Source organism: Homo sapiens, chromosome 13 (assembly GCF_000001405.40).
Source record: "Homo sapiens chromosome 13, GRCh38.p14 Primary Assembly".
Classification (NCBI taxonomy): Eukaryota; Metazoa; Chordata; class Mammalia; order Primates; family Hominidae; genus Homo; species Homo sapiens.
The window spans coordinates 45456032-45475128 of record NC_000013.11 but is presented as its reverse complement, the minus strand read 5'-3'; the positions used below and the strand labels follow the sequence as shown (position 1 = coordinate 45475128).

The 19097-nt window shown below is 41.5% G+C and overlaps 1 protein-coding gene across 4 annotated transcripts in view; it reads right to left on the bottom strand.

Moving 5' to 3' along the window:
* COG3 (component of oligomeric golgi complex 3) overlaps positions 1 to 10190 on the bottom strand; it is a 71763-nt gene extending 61573 nt beyond the window's left edge. For all 4 annotated transcript variants that reach the window (XR_429222.5, XR_007063702.1, NM_031431.4 and 1 more), the window contains exon 1: positions 9919 to 10190. Coding sequence is in view for 2 of the 4 variants with exons in the window: in NM_031431.4 (NP_113619.3) it covers positions 9919 to 10092 (174 nt within the window). In the remaining 2 variants the exon portion in view is untranslated. The remainder of the gene's footprint in view (positions 1 to 9918) is intronic.
* Positions 10191 to 19097: the final 8907 nt, after the last annotated feature.

The window sequence follows — 19097 nt, the reverse complement described above, 5'->3', positions numbered from 1 at the left end:
ACACCTTCCTGCTGACAAATTTTGAAATTAAAACTGAATAGGAAGAATTTTAGAGTTTTCCATCAGTTTCAGAAGCGGCCCACAGACAAGGTCTCACTTTGACAATATTAGACCTACAGTACTTTCTAGTTCTCCACTATCAAAGAAAGACCAGGTGTTAATTTATTTATAGACATACAGACTGTTTTTAGACCAAAACAAAGGGAAAGTAGATGCTGGGGAAAGTAAAAGGGCCTAATTGTTTAGGTTCAAATTCCAGTTTTCAGCTCTCAGTTCTTAGTTTATGACATTTAAGGTCCATTGATATAAGACAAGATCCAAGGTCTCAGGAAGGTGCTACCCTGTCTACCTTCTAAATATAGAAGTTTCATCTGAAGATAGCATTTTCTCTTCAAAACTAAAATAAGCTAGATGCAAAATGCACCACTAATTTAGAAACACTGTCCTTTAAAAATAGAGTTTTTTGTGTATGGGTTCAAATAGGGCTATATTTATGGTACAGTAAAGTACATTACAATGCAGCCTAGTTAGAATCCTGCTCCTGTTCATTCATAAGCTGTGTGACATGGGGCAAATTACTTGATGTTTCTAATCCTCAATTATCTTCTCTTAGCTGATACGGATACACTGTCTGTATCATAACGTTACTATAAGGAGTAAAAAAGAAGGCCAGGCACGGTGGCTCACGCCTGTAATCCCAGCACTTTGGGAGGCTGAGGTGGGCGGATCACGAGGTCAGGAAATCGAGACCATCCTGGCTAACATGGTGAAACCCCGTCTCAACTAAAAACACACAAAAAAAAATTAGCCGGGCATGGTGGCAGGCGCCTGTAGTCCCAGCTAGTTGGGAGGCTGAGGCAGGAGAATGGCATGAACCCGGGAAGTGAAGCTTGCAGTGAGCCGAGATCGAGCCACTGCACTCCAGCCTGGGCGACAGAGCGAGACTCCATCTCAAAAAAAAAAAAAAAAAAAAAAAAGAGTAAAAAAGAAAACAAAGATGTGGGAAAACTGGCTTTTTAGAATGCTGGAAAGCTGCAGACAAAGTATTTAGGAAGGTCCTTGATCTGCCTTCTCCCCACAAATGAGCCTGGCTCAAGAGTCAGGAGGGTCCTAGGTGTAGGTAAACAGTTCTTATTAAGGGCATCACTTGTTCATGTAAACTCTTTCTGAATGGTAACACAATCCCTGAGTATAAAAGGACTGTGGCCCAGCAAGAATTAAGTTTCTCAAATCCAGTAAGAATTTATCCTGAGTCTAAAGTGTCATCAGCAACCGTATGCTGCCACTAGGGGTTCTGGAGGACAGAGGAAGCTGTGCTGAGATAAGCCGCATCTACACCTGCTCTGCAGAACCCTTCTAATGAGCAACATGAGCTGTCTCCTTGGGGAGCCACCCAAGACTCAAGATAACCCACCTGAAGCAATGCTGCATGTAAAGCACTTAGCACAGACCTGACATATTGTAAGCAATAAATTTGAGTACTGATATTATATTATTATTATTCCCATCTAATAGCAGCAACAGAGTAAGTTTATAAATCTAATCAACTTCTTGTAAAGCCGTCTTTACAAAATTATATTTTATTAGCAATAAAATTTAGTTCTATATGAACAGATCATCACAAATTCAATCACATAATTCTATCAGCACTGTTTAGATTATATCTAAGGGGGGCCGGGGTGATATGGCTCAGATTTGGAAAATATACCAGAAAACACACGAAAGCTAGGCTAGGATGAAGAAAGCTGAAAGAAATGTTGCTTGTACCCTCACAATAACAAAAAGCCAAATAATCCACAAGATTATAACTAGTCTTGAATCCACCAGTCTTGCAGAGTAACCAAGTAGATAAAAATCTGGGGAGCGACAGGCACCTCCAGGAAGAGACAGGCTGCAAGCACTGGCTCACCTGTGGCAAATCATGGGAAAAAAGAGATGGCAAACATTACAAGAGGAAACAGGCCGGGTGCAGTGGCTCACACCTGTAATCCCAGCACTTTGGGAGGCTGAGGTGGGAGGATCACGAGGTCAGGAGATCAAGACCATCCTGACTAACACGGTGAAACCCCATCTCTACTAAAAATACAAAAAATTAGCCAGGCGTGGTGGCGGGCGCCTGTAGTCCCAGCTACTCGGGAGGCTGAGGCAGGAGAATGGCATGAACCCAGGAGGCGGAGCTTGCAGTGAGCTATGATTGCACCACTGCACTCCAGCCTAGGCGACAGAGGGAGACTCCGTCTCAAAAAAAAGAGAGAAAACAACTCAGTCAAGAGACAAAGCAATCAACAGAGCCAGACTCAGATGAGCAAGAGACTAGAACTATCAGACAAGGAATCTAAAATAACTGTGATTAACATGTTAAAGGCTCTGGTGTAACACACAGATAAGAAGTATAAACAGATACACAATTTCAACAGAAAACTGAAAACTGTGTCAAATGGAAATGTGAGAAATAAAAATAATGGTAACAAAGATGAAGAATACCTGCAATGGGCTCATCAGTACACAGAACACAGTTAAGGAAAAAAAATCAGTGAACTTGAAGTTAGGTCAATAAAAATCACCCAAAATGAATCATACAGAGAAAACAGAGTGGGAAAATAAAAACTGAACATAGCATCCAAGAATTGTGTGATGGTATCAAATTATATGATGATATCAAATTACATGAAATGGGATCCCAAAAGAAGCAGAACAAGTGAGAACAGGGTGGAAGAAATATTTGAAGAAATAACTGTTGAGAACATTCCAAAAATAATGAAAGATATAAAACTACAGCTCTAAGAAATTCAGAGAATCCCAAGCAGAATACACACATACACACAGGCAAACCCCTCTGTGCACATCATATTCAAACTTTCAAAAACCAAAGATAAAAGCTTGAAGGCAGCCAGAGGGAAAAAGACATATTCTATACAGAGAAATAAAGGTAAAAATTACAGCAGACTTCTCATCAGAAATTACACAAGCCAGAAGACAATAGAGCGACATCTTTAAAGTGCCAAAAGAAAAACACTCAACTCAGAGTTCTACACCTATAGAGAATTATCTGTTTAAAATGTAGGAGAAATAAGGACTGTTTAAAACAAACAAAAGCGCCAGGTGTGGTGGCTCACACCTGTAATCCCAGCACTTTCGGAGGCCGAGGCAGGTGGATCACCTGAGGTCAGGAGTCCAGGACCAGCCTAGCCAACATGGCGAAACCCTGTCTCTACTAAAAATACAAAAATTAGCCAGGCGTAGTGGCGGGCGCCTGTAATCCCAGCTACTCAGGAGGCTGAGGCAGGAGAGTCGCTTGAACCTGGGAGGCAGAGGTTGCAGTGAGCCGAGATCGCGCCATTGCACTCCAGCCTGGGCTACAAAAGCAAAACTCCGTCTCAAAAAAAAGACCAAAAAAAAAACAAAAGCTGAGAGAATTCATTACCAGCAGACCTATACTACAAGAAATGTTAAAGGACATTCTTCAGGCAGAATATAACGCTAGATAAAACACATATCTACCCAAAAAACTGAAGTGCTCCAGAAATGATTAAAATGAAGGTAAATATGACAGTTTTTCTTTTTTTAAATCACTCAGCAAGAAATGTCAAAAGCAAAAGTAGTAACAATGTATTGTGGGTTTATAACATATGTAAAAGTAAAATGCCTGAAACAATATCACAAAACAGGGAAAGGAAGAAATGGAAGAATACTGTTTTGGGTGTTTTTTTGAGACAGGTTCTTGTTCTGCCACCCAGGCTGAAGTGCCATGGTGCAATCACAGCTCACTGCAGCCTTGATTTCCAGGGCTCAAGCCATCTCCTGCCTAAGCCTCCCAAGTAGCTGGAGCTGCAGGCGTGCACCACCACACCCAGCTAACTTTTTGATTTTTTTTTCTTTTTTTTTTCTGTAGAGACGAGGTCTCACTATGTTACCCAAGCTATTCTTGAACTCCTGAGCTCAAGCAATCCTCCTGTCTCAGTCTCCCAAAGTGCTGGGATTACAGGGGTGAGCCACCATGCCCAGCCAAAGAATCCTGCTGTAAGGCTGTTATACCATAATGAAGTGGTATAATATTTAGAGGTAGGCTGTGACTAATTAAAGTAGTACAGACGCTCCTCAGCTTATGATGGGGTTGTGTCCCAATAAACCCTTCGGAAGTTGAAAATATCCTAAGTCAAAAGTATGTGGCTCACTGGGAGCTGTGGCTCACTGCCATGCCCGGCACCACAGGTACACTTTCTACTGAATACATGTAGCTTTCACATAAAGTCAGAAAGTCATAAGCTGAACCATCATAAGTCAGGGACCATCTGTATATTGTAAATCCTAAGGCAACCACTAAAAAAACTGAAAATACACAGAGGACCTGGCAAACTTCAGTCTTCCAACATCACCTAGACCCATATCCATCTGTAATTCAACTTCTTTTGAGAAAAACGATTATAAGTCTATCTGAAAGAATGTAGATCAATGTCAAAATCCCAGTTGTGACACCAGATACTATAGTTGTGCAAAATGTTACCATTGAGGGAAAGTGGGCAAAGTGTACCGATCACAGTAGTATTTCTCATTACTGCAAGTGAATCTACATTATTTCACCTTTTTAATAAGTAATGTAATAATCATATTCTCCCATCAGAGTTCATGAGGCCTTACACTGCATAATTCTAGTACTACCTCACAACATATAACAAATTCCAGATAAAAAGTATAACTCCTTTTGTCCCAGAATCATTTATAATACATAGAGCTGTCCTTTTAAGTGTATTTATTTGAATAGGTAATAAATCTCAAGGCACAAAACTCAAGGGAGTCAGTGAAAAGTCTCCTTCCCCTGGAACTCATTCTCCAGCCATCTAGTTTCCTCCTCAGGGGCAGGCTATCAATGTTACTAGTTTCTTAAGTATCTTTTCTAAGATGGTCTATGCATATACAAAGGAAGTATACCTTAAACCCAAATAACAGTATACACACCTCCCCTTTTTCACTTAATATGCAACATTTTAAAATGTCTCTTCAACAGAGTATAAGGAAAAGACAGAATTTACTCTTACATTGTCATTGTCATTAAACTATAAAGGGGTGCTTATTTTAAAAGTCCCAAGAATACAGAATATTTAAGTGAAAAGCAAGTCTCCCTTCTTCCCTCTCCCCTGCTCGTCCAATTCTTCTTCTTTAAGCCAATACCAATGTTTATAATTTGAGAGTTTTTCTAAAGAATTTGAGGGTAAAATGAAGAACTGTAAAAGTAGAAGGAACTAAAGAAATAATTTTGAATTTTTGATCAATCTTTTATGAAAATTATTCAAAATATATGAATATAATTGTTTTTAATCCAAATCATCAGAAGAGTTAAAATGAAAAGTAACATTCTCCCCCACCCTCAGTTTTCACCAGTTTAACCATTTTCAGTTTTCTTTTATGGTAACTCTACAACTCTTAAAAAAAAATATTTACTGCTTTGTGTTTGAATTCATCAATTTTAGGTCCTATATATACACTCTTACTTACTTCACCATGTAAGATAAAGAAATTAGTAACTCTATATCTGTTCCCTGTTTACTGTCAAATTCTGTCACCTGTACTATCTCTTTTTTAGATTATCAAATTTTATAATATTTGCACCTGGTTCTGTGATTAAGTCTTTAGAATGATTTTTAAAAGGATACTACATGCTTCCTGCCTTCTATAAATATGCCCAACTTTCAGGTTCATTGATACCATCTTTGGTTTTGGTGTGCCACACATTTATTACTGTCATTTCAAAGGGATCCAGGGATGTCATACACGTGTGCTCAGTCTGTTATCTTGAACCAAAAAAAGTTTATCTTCTAATTAACTTTAGAAAATAAAATAATTTGAAAACTCTACTTGAGAAACTACTATAGATATTCCAGATATGTTCTGTAACCTAGATGTGAGTAAATATATTCTAAATTTATAAGAGTATTCTATTTGATTACTTCAAGTACAAATACTACTTTTCAATCATAAGAACTTTAAAAACTAGAGGCAAAAGGAGGCTCCCTGTTTCCTTGTTCTAATACAAAACCATCTTCTCTCAAACCAAGCAAGAGAGAAGCCATAATGCAATTACTTCAAACAAATCATTTTTTAAAGTAGCAAAACAAGTTGCTTTTTAATAACATACGAGAAAATGCCCCCATTAAGTAGACTAGGCAGCTGCCTTCCTTTCTCAAAACACCTGGTATAGAATGACAAGTCAAAAAGGGGTGTGGTGGTATCACACACTTTCCTGTTCTGACCTCTCATTCACTTCTCAGGAGGAGGTGACTGAATGCCTGCTGCTTACCAGCACTGTCCTGGCTTCCAGATGGAGCAGACAGACACCACTAGAGAGAGAACACAGTTCTAGATTGCTAATGGGCCAGTGCTGCAGAGCTACTGTATAGTTTATGCAAATGGAGACACTAACATTAAATAGTAAGTACAATAAATTCTCAAGCTTTGCCTGACCAGCTGAGCAGGTCCCTGAAATAACAAGTAACATACCTTTCTCTCCCAAGCTTTACTTCTTGCAGAGTTCTGGGTTGGAGAAAACCACTTTTATAATCAATCTGATCAATTAATTCCCTAAATGAAACCTGATGTTTTGTTCTCTGCTTGGAGCAAATTACTGAAGAGGTATAGGTGGAGTCTCAGAACCTTCCTCAAGGCACTTAACCTCTCCTTTTCTTACCTTTGGTCTGAATGACACCTATACCAGCTCAGCATCACAGGATTCTAATCTATTCTTTTAAGATGTTAATAATTTGAAAGAAAGCACAAGAATAATAGCAAGTAACTTGCCACGTGCACCTTGCATACGTGATTTCACATAATTCTCACAATTCCCTATGAGATAAGTACTCATCATGAGTTAAGTCCCCATTTTATAAAGAAGAAAATTAAGGCTTAGAAAAGATAAACATCACATCTAAGGTCACACAGCCTACAAGAAAACAACAGCTGTAACAGTAAATTATAGGTAAATGTCGGGGTAAATTATTTTAGCACTTTATCAAGAATTACTAAATTCAACAGAAAGAAATAGGCCCCTCACTACTAAGTTTGCCCTGGCTACAAAAGTCTACCTAATATTCTATTGTAAATTATTTTCTCTAATGCCAAAAAAGGCATAATTCCTTTTTAAGATAAGACTAGTTCTCTTTCATAAAAGAGAAAGCTATTTTCTAAAGAAGTTAACATCTTTATGATATGTACTTAAGAGTTAGTTGGCCTCTTGCTATTCTACTAGCCTGCTCAGTTCCAGTTGTTCAGGAAGTAATTTATCTCGTGAAAATTGTGAAACACTACAGAAAATCCTTGAGTTATACTGATTGGACAAAATGAAAATTGTGGCACTCTCTTTTGCTGCCAATGTTAAAAGAGTAGTATAGGGCTAAAAAAATTAATTCCAAAGTCTTCCCAACAGACATATAAACACTTCAGAAAAGGAAAATGAGGGCTGTAAAGCTGAAGAGCAATGAGAACTGCCTTCTCAAAGATTCCAGGATGTGTGCATAACCAGCTCGGCTACTGCATTCTTTTTGAGACAGAATCTTGCCTGTCACCCACCCAGGCTGGAGCGCAGTGGTGCAATCTCGGCTCAGGGCAATCTCTGCCTTCTGGGTTCAAGTGATTCTCATGCCTCAGCCTCCCAAGTACCTGGGATTACAGGCATGCACCACCACACCCAGCTAATTTTTATATTTTTAGTAGAGATGGTGTTTCGCCATGTTGGCCAGGCTGGTCTTGAACTCCTGACCTCAAGTGATTCTCCCGCCTTAGCCTCCCAAAGTGCTGAAATTACAGGCGTGGGCCACCGCACCTGGCCTCAGCTATTGCATTCTCACAGGAATCCAATACCAAGCTGCACGTACCAGAAGACCCTCACTGAATTCTTGAACTCATTAAGCTCATCCTCTACCCATGACCTTATGCTGTTCTTTCTTCCAGCTGCAATGTTATTTCTTTAGTCTTTATGAGGCTAGCTTCAGGTAGTCCATCATCAGTTCTCACCTCAGGCTGTCACTTCCTTGGAAAGGTCTTCCCTCTTTCTCTAAAAGGGCACACCTCATCCTTTTCTGTCACACCATCCTATCTGATTTTCCTTATATTATGGACCACCATCTGAACATACCTTCTTTGTTCTTTTTTTCCATGTTCATGATCCCCACAATTATGTCAGCTCTATGAGGCTAAGGATCTCATCTTTCCTATTTATCTTTCTATCTTCAATACCTAACTCAGAGTAGGGACATAACATATGTTAAAGACTGCATGTGGCTAATGATAAATATGGAAGAATGGGGTGAAAATGAAAGATTCCATTTAGTTCATTCCAAACGTTCTCCTTCATGCTCAATGAGAATAAGAAATAATAGTTTATGACCCATGACAATGAAAACAAATTTTTTTGTAGAATATGTATCTCCCCCATCACACCCTCAGTGCTATTAAGTCCAAGCATCCTGCTGCAGTAGGAGCCAAATCAATTATAAACAGACTGGAAAATTTATAGAGCAAACAACTTTTATTATCCAGGGTATAAAAGAGTTTGATAGCTGAGCCAAAGAAATTTCCACCTGCGCCTTCATTGATTTCAGATCCACTTCCGGTACCATATCCTAGAGGTGGAAAAAGAAACCCAAGAAAGAACGCCTATTTGATGGCTGAGCATACAACAGTGAATGTGAAGAGAACGTTTAAATCAAATCTCTAAAGTTGGAGGACAGAAAAAGTTGAAGACTCTAAACTCAATCTGCATTTGGACACAATTCCAAATCGTATAAAAAGAATGCTTCAGGCCAGGCACGGTGGCTCACGACTGTAATCCCAGCATTTTCGGAGGCCGAGGCGGGCAGATCACTTGAGGTCAGGAGTTCGAGAACAGCCTGGACAACAGGGCGAAACCCCATCTCTACTAAAAATACAAAAAATTAGCCGGGTGTAGTGGCAGGCACCTGTGATCCCAGCTACTCGGGAGGCTGAGACAGGAGAATCGCTTGAACCCGGGAGGTGGAGGTTGCAGTGAGCCGAGGTCACGCCACTGCACTCCAGCCTGGGCGACAGAGCGAGAGAAAAGAATGCTTCCAACATCAAAAGTAACCATCACCACTGCTTATATAAAATAATCCTCCTAAACCTGGCCCTCAAAACTGGAAAACGTTTGTCAAACATCTGACAATTCATGTTACTTCCTGCTATTACAACTAATTGAATTGAATCACACAAGAAGCAGTAGTGCATAATATCCTAATGGTAAGTGGATTAAACACATTGACTCTAACACCGAAAACCAGCACTGCTTAATAATGTACTGAGCCAACTTTCAAATAAAATTCATTTTTATTGCTTTGCAATAGGTGAAATAAATCTGATCTCCCATAACTTGCACTTGATTGAGAGCTCATAGTTCAATGTGCGATAAATGAAACTCACTCAGGACCAAGTTTTGGTCTCCCCAAGACCCCCATGGACAAAGCAACCTAGGTGAATCATTAAGGCGGTAAACGAGCACGCGCTGGAGACTGTCCTGCAGCACAGCACCTCGGGTTGACTGCCTCTCCTTCTGGGAGAGAGTGGGCAGCAGGATTACGCCTCGGCTGACAGGACGCCTCGTCTGGGGCAAAACGTTCGGTGCAAGGCTCCGGGCCAACCGTCCCATGCTGCTGGGGGAGGACTGGGTTCCGGCGAGCACCAGCTGCAGGACACCCCCACAGCCGTCCCCAGGCAGAATTAGAGTCGGGGTCGCAGGCAGAGCGAAGCCTGACAGCCTGGGAGATGAGGCCCCTCCCACCGGATCCGCCACCATGGCCAGGGAGGAGTGGAGAGATATCCTGGGCAGAGGCTAGTGAGGCCGGGGTCCTGCCGGGGCGCCCGAGGAGAATCCCAGCCCCATCGCCCCGGCCCGGTTCCTGCCCATCACCTCACCTCAGCTGGCACCGGCAAGTTCTCTGCCGCCGCCTTCAGCTCCAATACCGAGTCCGTCTGCCTGTCGGTCAGCGGCGCCGTCGTGTCCGGTCTCCGATCCCAGAGAGCCAGCTTTTCCCTAGCGTCCCGCTCCGCCGCCGCCTCAGGCAGCAGCAACAGCGCCGCCTCCGCCATCGCCGCCGCCCTCGCGGCCTTCAGCAGCAGCGAGATGGAGGGGACCCCGACAGAGAGACCTGGGCCACTTCCGGGAGAACCGGAGCTTCCAACACTGCACCGGCGGCGGGGCGGGACGGAATGCCCTGACCCCGGAAACGGTTCCGCAGTGTGGGGGGCGGGACCGAGGCCAGTACCGACGTGGCTTTAAATGGGTACGACTATTTCCGGTTGAAACGTAGAAGGTGGAGAAGACAGGACCCAATGGAAATAGAAATGCCCCTACCGGAAGTCTTTTCCTCAACATCAATAACTTTATTGTTACGTGTTGTACAGATTATTGACAACTGCGCTAAATCACCCTGCCGGCAGGAGACTTGGATCTACACCTCTCTGCTTACAGCTGGGTAGTCTGGGTAGAATGTGTGGAGTGTATGATTTCCATGTTGGCATGTTGACAATTTATGCCTCTTGGATCAAAACCAAAAGCATAAACTTTTCCAACATCCAGTAATTCCCCTACTAGAAAACTAATTTACGGAAACACATAAAAAATTCAAAGATGTGTGTATCTCAGACATCATTAATGGTATCAAATAACTGGAGACAACCTAAATGTCCAACATTGAAGAACTGGATCAAGAATTTGTGGCACAGACCAGGCGCGGGGGCTCAGGCCTGTAATCTCAGCACTTTGGGAGACCGAGGTGGGCGTATCACCTGAGGTCAGGAGTTTGAGACCAGACTGGCCAACATGGTTGAACCCCGTCTCTACTAAAAGCACAAAAATTAGCCAGGCGTGGTGGCACATGCCAGTAATCAGCCTGAGAGGCTGAGGCAGGAGAATCTCCTGAACCTGGAAGGTGGACGTTGCAGTGAGCAGAGATCTTGCCACTGCATTCCGGCCTGGGCATCAAGTGAGACTGTCTCAAAATGTATAATAATAATAATTTGTGGTACAGACATGTAATTCTACTCTACCATTTAAATCATATTGTAGATTTGAGCAACAAAATAAATAATGATAGTATTGGATCATAATTTACAGAATAAAATAAATACCCATGAGTCCATACTGCTATAAATAAACGATTGAATAAATAAATGGTGGAGAACAGACAATCTTCTACAAGTTATGGAGGCCTCTTCCTGCTCCTCCCTGGAGTCAAGGCAGGTGGAAACAGCTTCGTAGCAATTTTGACCATTGTCTGGGTAAAGTCTGAAGGCTTTATTCAGGCTTTATAGCACAAATCAGTGCCTGGCTATGTTCCCAAATGAAGGCTCTGATCTTTTAAGAGCAGAATTTGAGACCGGGCGCAGTGGCTCACACCTGTAATCCCAGCACTCTGGGAAGCCGAGGTGGGCGGATTACCTGAGGTCGGGAGTTCGAGACCAGCCTGATCAACATGGAGAAATCCCGTCTCTACTAAAAATACAAAAAAACTTAGCTGCGCGTGGAGGTGCATGCCTGTAATCCCAGCTACTCGGGAGGCTGAGGCAGGAGAATCGCTTGAACCCAGGAGGCGGAGGTTGCTGTGAGCCAACGTTGCACCATTGCACTCCAGCCTGGGCAACAAGAGCTAAACTCTGTCTCAAAAAAAAAAAGAATAGAATTTGAAGTTGGAAGAGAATTTTAAAATCATATAATCAAGCCCTTTCTGTCTACAGAGGAGCAAACTACAACCCGTAGAGGTGAAGCAAGCAGCCTAACATCCTGCAATCAGGTGGTTAACATCAGCGTCACCACTGGAACTTAGATATCCTGACTGTGTCTGACACCCTTTATATACCACAGCTTCTCCAAGTTGCCTGCTGTACAAAGCCCTTAAAAAATCTGCAGATCCCCAATGTTGATGTAAATAATTGTATTATATTGCTTAAGTATGAACAAAAATAAGACTTGACATAAGCTTTGGATGTTTATACCAAAATAGACATGCAAGTTACATGCCAACAGAAATATAACTAACATATAACGGTATATAACCAATAACATTCACATTAACAACTCAAGTGAGATGTGGGATATTATTTTGCTGGAAAACGAAATTGCTTCTGGCAACACGAAGACAGTCCTGACTACTGCTATACAGCTGCTTGGGAGTTCATCACACTTCTGTTATACCAGCAGCATGCTGTGTTCCCCACCATTTGAACTACTGGGAACACTTGACTCAGGGTAAATCCCTAATACCATTTTTCCTTTATCTGGCTTGTATATATCATTTGCATATTAAAACAACCCTGCTGTTTTTAGTAGCTTTATTAAAAATATTCTATATGCACAAACAAGGAGGGTGGAAGCTGAAATCATGTGGTAATCCTAAACTATAAAACTGTCATGTTGGTGATCCAGAATATGCATGAATATAGTTTTAAGAGTTGAAATGAGGCTGGGTGTGGTTGCTCACGCCTGTAATCCCAGCACTTTGGAAGGCTGAGGCGGGCGGATCATGGGGTCAGGAGATCGAGACCATCCTGGCTAACATGGTAAAACCCAGTCTCTACTAAAAATACCAAAAATTAGCCGGGCGTGGTGGCAGGCACCTGTAGTCCCAGCTACTCGGGAGGCTGAGGAAGGAGAATGGCATGAACCCGGGAGGCGGATCTTGCAGTGAGCTGAGATTGTGCCACTATACTCCAGGCTGGGCAACAGAGCGAGACTCTGTCTCAAAAAAAAAAAAAAGAGTTGAAATGAAAACAAATATTTTAAAAATGTAATCACAAGCTCTAGTTTGAGAAAGACTGCACCACATCCTACTGTCTACTGCCCTAATAAAGACATAGACCATGGTTAAACTTTCCTATTACCTACTACAAGTGTCTGCAATTCCACATTTCTTTGCTTCCTAGGGTTTTTCACCCAGTAATATCTTAGAATAGGCCCCTGGAAATGGAAAAATGCCTAAGGGACAAGGGGCAGAGGTGCTCTAGATTGAGGAAGGGGAGAGATAGGGAAGGAGACGGCGGTAAGGATCCAAAGACCTCCTTATAGTGAGGGCTTCATAGCCTCGCCATGGTCAGCCCTCCTCAATGACTCAAACCTGGACACTGCAAAGGACCCCCGCTAATAATGTGGCATTGCAAGAATAGCTCATGTGTTGATTTCCAAAGCACCTCTCATCTGCTGCTCACTTTCACTCAGGTAGGTAGTTGGTGGATATTATTTTTTGCCCTATTTAATGAATGATAAAAACAAACTTCAGGGAGGTTTGTGAGCTGCTCAGGATAACAGTTAGTAAAGGGCAGACCTGTCATTGGAACCAGGACACTGGGCAGGACCTTCTCTTTTCCCTCTGTGCTAACACAAATGAAAGTGAGCAACATGAACCCATTCGTACATTTGAACCCATTCGTACTTTTTTGTCACAGGACATTTTAGCAAGCATGAGTTCCAAGGATGAGCATTACAGGCTGGCAGAACTGCTTCCCAGCATTCTATGGTACTTCAAGGTTGTACTAGTGCCAAAACACTAAACATGGCGTAAAAGAGGAAGAACGTTAGAACACACAGACTTCTCAGATCATTTTCCATTTTACTTCACTGCTTATAAAACAGCAAAGTTACAAAATGGAATAGTTCAAATCATTCTTATACACAGCTGCATGTGTACAATTGCCTCGTGAATTTTCAGAGCACGTTCTTGTGGAATTGATGGATTTCTTTATGTATACTCTCCAGCCTATTATCAGAAGAACCACTTCCCTTGCTATAGGTTTCTATAGCTTCATCAAGGGTCTGAAGATCTGTTTTCCTTTTCAAATTATTTCCTTTCTTACTCACTTTATCAATTTCTCATTTACACATCAGTGACTATAAATCACTGTAAACCTTGACAATTTATTTAAATAGTAGCTAAGGCTTTATTTCATAATAACAGAAGAATTAGACAAATAGTACCACAGCTTAGAATTCAGAATCAATATTTAGAATCAAGGCATGTTTTGAAGAAAGACATAATTACCTTCCAAAATTTCAACCTCAAAAAGCTATGAACTGCCTCTTTGCTAATAATAAAATTAAAACACATGCAATAAAGTCATGTGTAAATGTTGGTAAAAACATTTTTGGAAATATCTATCACTAGCCTTGAAATGCTCACTTTTTTTTTACTTCCTTTTCTAGGGCTTTTTCATAAATTGATAATCTCTTAATTTTTTTTAAAAAAGCTTTATCTACAAAGATGTTCACAGCAGGATATTAAAAAACATTTAGAAACAATTTAAGTATAGAATTATGGTAAATTTGCTTGATGGCTTACTAGACAGTCATTTTAATTACATTTAAATTTTACTTGTATTTTGTTTTTCAAATGTTTTAATGAGTATGTGTTATTTATAATGATACGCATATATCATAATTATGCCTATATGTTCGTTGTGTGGGTGCATGTGTGTGTGTGCTTATTGTACAGCATTAGAGATCTAGTAACATTATAGATTACCCATTCATTCATTCACTCATCCTCTTATCAAACATTAATTGTGTGTTGGGTTCTGTATTAGTCCATTTTCATATTGCTGATAAAGACATACCTGAGAGCCAGGCACAGTGCTTATGCCTGTAATCCCAGCACTTTGGGAGGCCAAGGCAGGTGGATCATTTGAGGTCAGGAGTTCAAGACCAGCCTGGCCAAGATGGTGAAACCCCATCTCCACTAAAAATGTAAAAATAAGCCAGGTGGTAGTGGCACACACCTGTAATCCCAGCTACTCGGGAGGCTGAGGCGGGAGAATCACTTGAGCCTGGGAGGTGGAGGTTGTGGTGAGCCAAGATGGCGCCACTGCACTCCAGTCTGGGTGACAGAGTGAGACCTTGAATCAAAAAAAAAAAAAAAAAAAAAAAAAAAGACATACCCGAGACTGGGCAATTTACAAAAGAAAGAGGTTTATTAGACTTATGGTTCCACCTGGCTGGGGAGGCCTCATAATCATGGCATAAGGCAAGGAGGAGCAAGTCACATCTTACATGGATGGCAGCAGGCAAAGAGAGAGCTTGTGCAGAGAAACTCCCGTTTTTTAAAACCATCAAATCTCATGAGACCCAATCACTATCATAAGAACAGCATGAGAAAGACCCACCCCCATGATTCAATTACCCCCCACCAGGTTCCTCCATAACATGTGGGAATTGTGGAAGTTGCAATTCAAGATGAGATTTGGATGGGGACACAGCCAAACCATATTACATTGTGTGCTGATCTGAGTATTCAATACTAAATCAGAACATTTCCTGTATTCAAGGAGCTTACAGTCTGGTAAAGTAGACAGACAAACACTGGCGAGTGCAATACAATATAAAATGTAGTATCTGTGAATAAGCATAAGATGATTACAGGAAGCAAGGAAGAAAAGCATCTAATCCATACTTGGATGATGAGGGTAGGTTTTCTGGAGAGACCTTTAACAGTGCTTGGCATACAGTAGATACTCAATAAATATATTTTGAATGAATTGGGATCTGAATAGCAATAAGACAGAGAAGGAGAAACTTTTTCAAGTGAGAGGGAACAGTATGTGCTAAGGCCTAGAAGCAAGACCACAGAACACCTGTAGGAAGTAAAAAATTTGACAATATGATTAGAATTTGAAGTTGGAGGTAGAAAGATGACAAGAAATGATGTCAAAGCGGTGCATAGGGACAAGACTGTGAAAGCCTGGGTGCCATGATAAGAAGTTTGGCCTCTGTGCTGAGGAGATCGGGCAGTAAGGACATTGCCCATTGGCCATTTAGAAAAGTCCTGGAGAGTGTGGCACATGCATTGACCAGAAGCCAATCCAGAAGTGGGAACAGAGAGTATAGAGGCTGTTTCAGTCATCTGGACAGCCTGAATTAGGAGTGTTGGTGGACATGGAGAGAGGAGAGTGAAAGGAGGAGATATCAAAAAGATAAAGCCCACCGGGATTGAGGTGTAACTGAATGGACACGAAGGAGTCAGGATGTCTGGTTTGGACACATGGGTGTGTCCTTCACTGAGAGGGGAGCACAGAAGAAGATAGCTTGGCAGAGGGTGACGAGTCCAATGTTTGACATGAAGCATGCTGAGAGAATGTTTTCCACATACACACAGCTCCTTGTCTATTCTAATGAGCCAGACTTGAGTATCCACCACCTGAATGGAGGATTGTCACGGCAGACCCAACAAACAACCGTGTCACATGGACAGCTTTTGAGCTTTAAAAGCAGCCACTCAGTTGTAAAACAGGTATTGGAAAAATACACCTTCTATTTTTGTCCTACCTTAAGAAACTACGTGTTTTAGAGAAAAGAGGGAGTCTACAGAGGGGAGCAGGATGGTATCTTGCAGCAAGTGTTTTTGAGAAGGGGTTCTACCATCTGGGTGGTGGGGATGAGGGTGGTTCATGAATGTTCTGAGATCAGACAAAATATATCTCTTGCTTCCTAAGTATGGTGGTAGAGAATGAAAAAAGCCTAGAGTACTCCCAAGTCCTACTAGAGTAGCGCATGAACAATGGAGTAGGCACACGTGAGAAATTCTGTAGGCAGCTTCACAAAGACCCTTCACACAGACTCAAACATAGTGCAGGGAACGACAGATGCTACTGTATCTCCAAGGGTGGTAGAAGAGACCATGGAGCTAGAGTTGGGCCTGGAGAAGCCTGGAGTCCAGCAATTTGGGTACCATTACAAATGGCTAGATATCCCTCAGTTCTCAGCTTTAATGTCTTTCTCAGGGGCATCTACTCTGCAGTCTGGGTGAGGTCCAGCCTCCCATCATACACTGCTGGGGCCCTGTACTCCCCCTTGTCAAAGGATAATTTTCAGAGCATGGCTCTCATATACATGTGAAATGAAGGAAGCCCTGCATGGTGACACATGCCTGCAATCCCAGGTACTGGGGACGCTAAGACAAGAGGATTGCTTGATGCCAAGGAGTTCAAGACCAGCCTCGGCAACACAGCAAGACTCCATCACTAAAAATATTTTTTTTAAAAAAAGAAAGAAATCAAGAAGCAAACCAAACAAGGGAAGAAGACTATCAAAAATAGCCAGGCAGATTATAAAATAATCATATAAAACTACACAGTTGACCCTCAAACAACATAAGTTTCAACTGTGCATTTCCACTAATACACGGCTTCTTTTCAACCAGAAACGAATTGAAAATACAATATTCACAGGAGGCAAAGCCTGTGTATGCTGAGGGCCAACTTTTGGTATATGCAATTTCTGCAGGGCCAACTGCAGGACTTGAGTAAGCATGGATTTGACTATATGCATGTGACCCTGAAACCAATCTCCTTGCATATACCAATGTATAATTGTAATGATAAATTTATAGTTTTTTAAAAAATTGTATTTTTAAAACAATCCTTAAAACTGAAAAATATTATTATTGGAATTAAAATAGATAGGTAAATAGTTGAAGAGAGAATTACAGTAAGTTGGAAAATAGATATAGAGACATTTCTCCAAATACAGCATGAGACAAGAAGATGGAAAATAGGAGGTTTAGCAACATGGAGGAGAGAATTAACAGATTGTATTTGGTTAGGGTCCCATCAAGAAACAGAATTTATCTGAGATTGTTCAAATAAAGAGACTTAGTAAAGGAAATAATTACAGAGGTGTGGGGAGAGTTAAGGAGACCAATAATAGATGTTGAGGCACTGTATTAATCTGTTCTCACAATGCTATAAAGAACTACCTGAGACTGGGTAATTTATAAAGAAAAGAGGTTTAATTGGCCCATAGTTCTGCAGGCTGTACAGGAAGCATGGCTGGGGAGGCCTCAGGAAACTTACAATCATGGTAGAAGGTGAAGGGGAAGCAAGCACATCTTCATATGGCCAGCAGGAGAGAGCGAGAGAGCAAAAGGGAGTTGCTACACACTTTTAAACAACCAGATCTCGTGAGAACTCTACCACGAGACAGCACTAGGGGGATGGTGCTAAACCATTAAAAACTACCCCCATGATCCAGTCACCTCCCACCAGGCCCCATCTCCAACACTGGGGGATTACAATTCAACATAATATTTGGGTGGGGACATGGAACCAAGCCATATCAGGCACCTGGAGACTTAGCAACAGTGGGAAACCATTACCACCTGTAGGTTTGAAGAGACAAGGTTAGAAAATAGTGTTAGCAGAGCCCAATGAGAGTTGTAGCTGTGGGGGAACCACAGTTATCGCCAGGGACATGGCAGTGAAGCAGGGAAAGCATGAAAAAATACCATCTTCTCTCTCCACCTCCAATTTCCTGCTAGTGTTTTTCATTGGCTAAATGCAATTGGAAGCCAGAAAGTAAGGGAATCTGAGTAATGCAGTCTCTGAGTCATGCAAGAAGCCAGCATCCAAAAACATAGAGCAGGGCACAGAAGTTATAGATCTGAGGGCAAATGGAGATTAACCATCTTGTCCTTGATCATGGATTCAAGATTTCCAGTCCTGGAAGTACATACATACTGGCTGGAGTGCTAAACACTTGGAAGATTTTCTTTTCCAACTATTTTTCAGTGACACTCATGACTGGGGCTGTCACAGTGTGGCAGTTCATTTCTATCTGGTGCCTATATATTGTTCAGAACCATCAATAAATGACGCCTCAGTTTTTTCTTTCTCTGTTGACTGGCCATAGAGAAATGCCTATGATGCTACAGGTGTGGTCTGAGGGAAAGGCAGCAGTAGATATCTGAGCCTTGACTCATGCCTTCAGGAACTGTTTGAGCTTGACACTGTATATACCATACCACCTCCATTTGCTGACAGAGTGCTGTTTTTTTTTTTTTTTTGAGAATAAAGTATTGAGGAAATGAGATCTAGACAACTGGGTAATCTGCTGATCTGCATTCAATTTCTTTTTGGTGCCTAGTGAATTTCCTGTAAGTCTTAAAATTGGGTCATAAAGGATATCATAATGTATGATATCAATTTAGTGCATTAAGCTCTAATTTCTAATTAGAAACCATGAAAAGTTATTGTCTCAAAGTCGGCTGGGCCCCCGCCAGCAGTAAAGGAAGAAGAGATGGCGTAAAATAAACAGCCTAGCCAGATAAAATCGG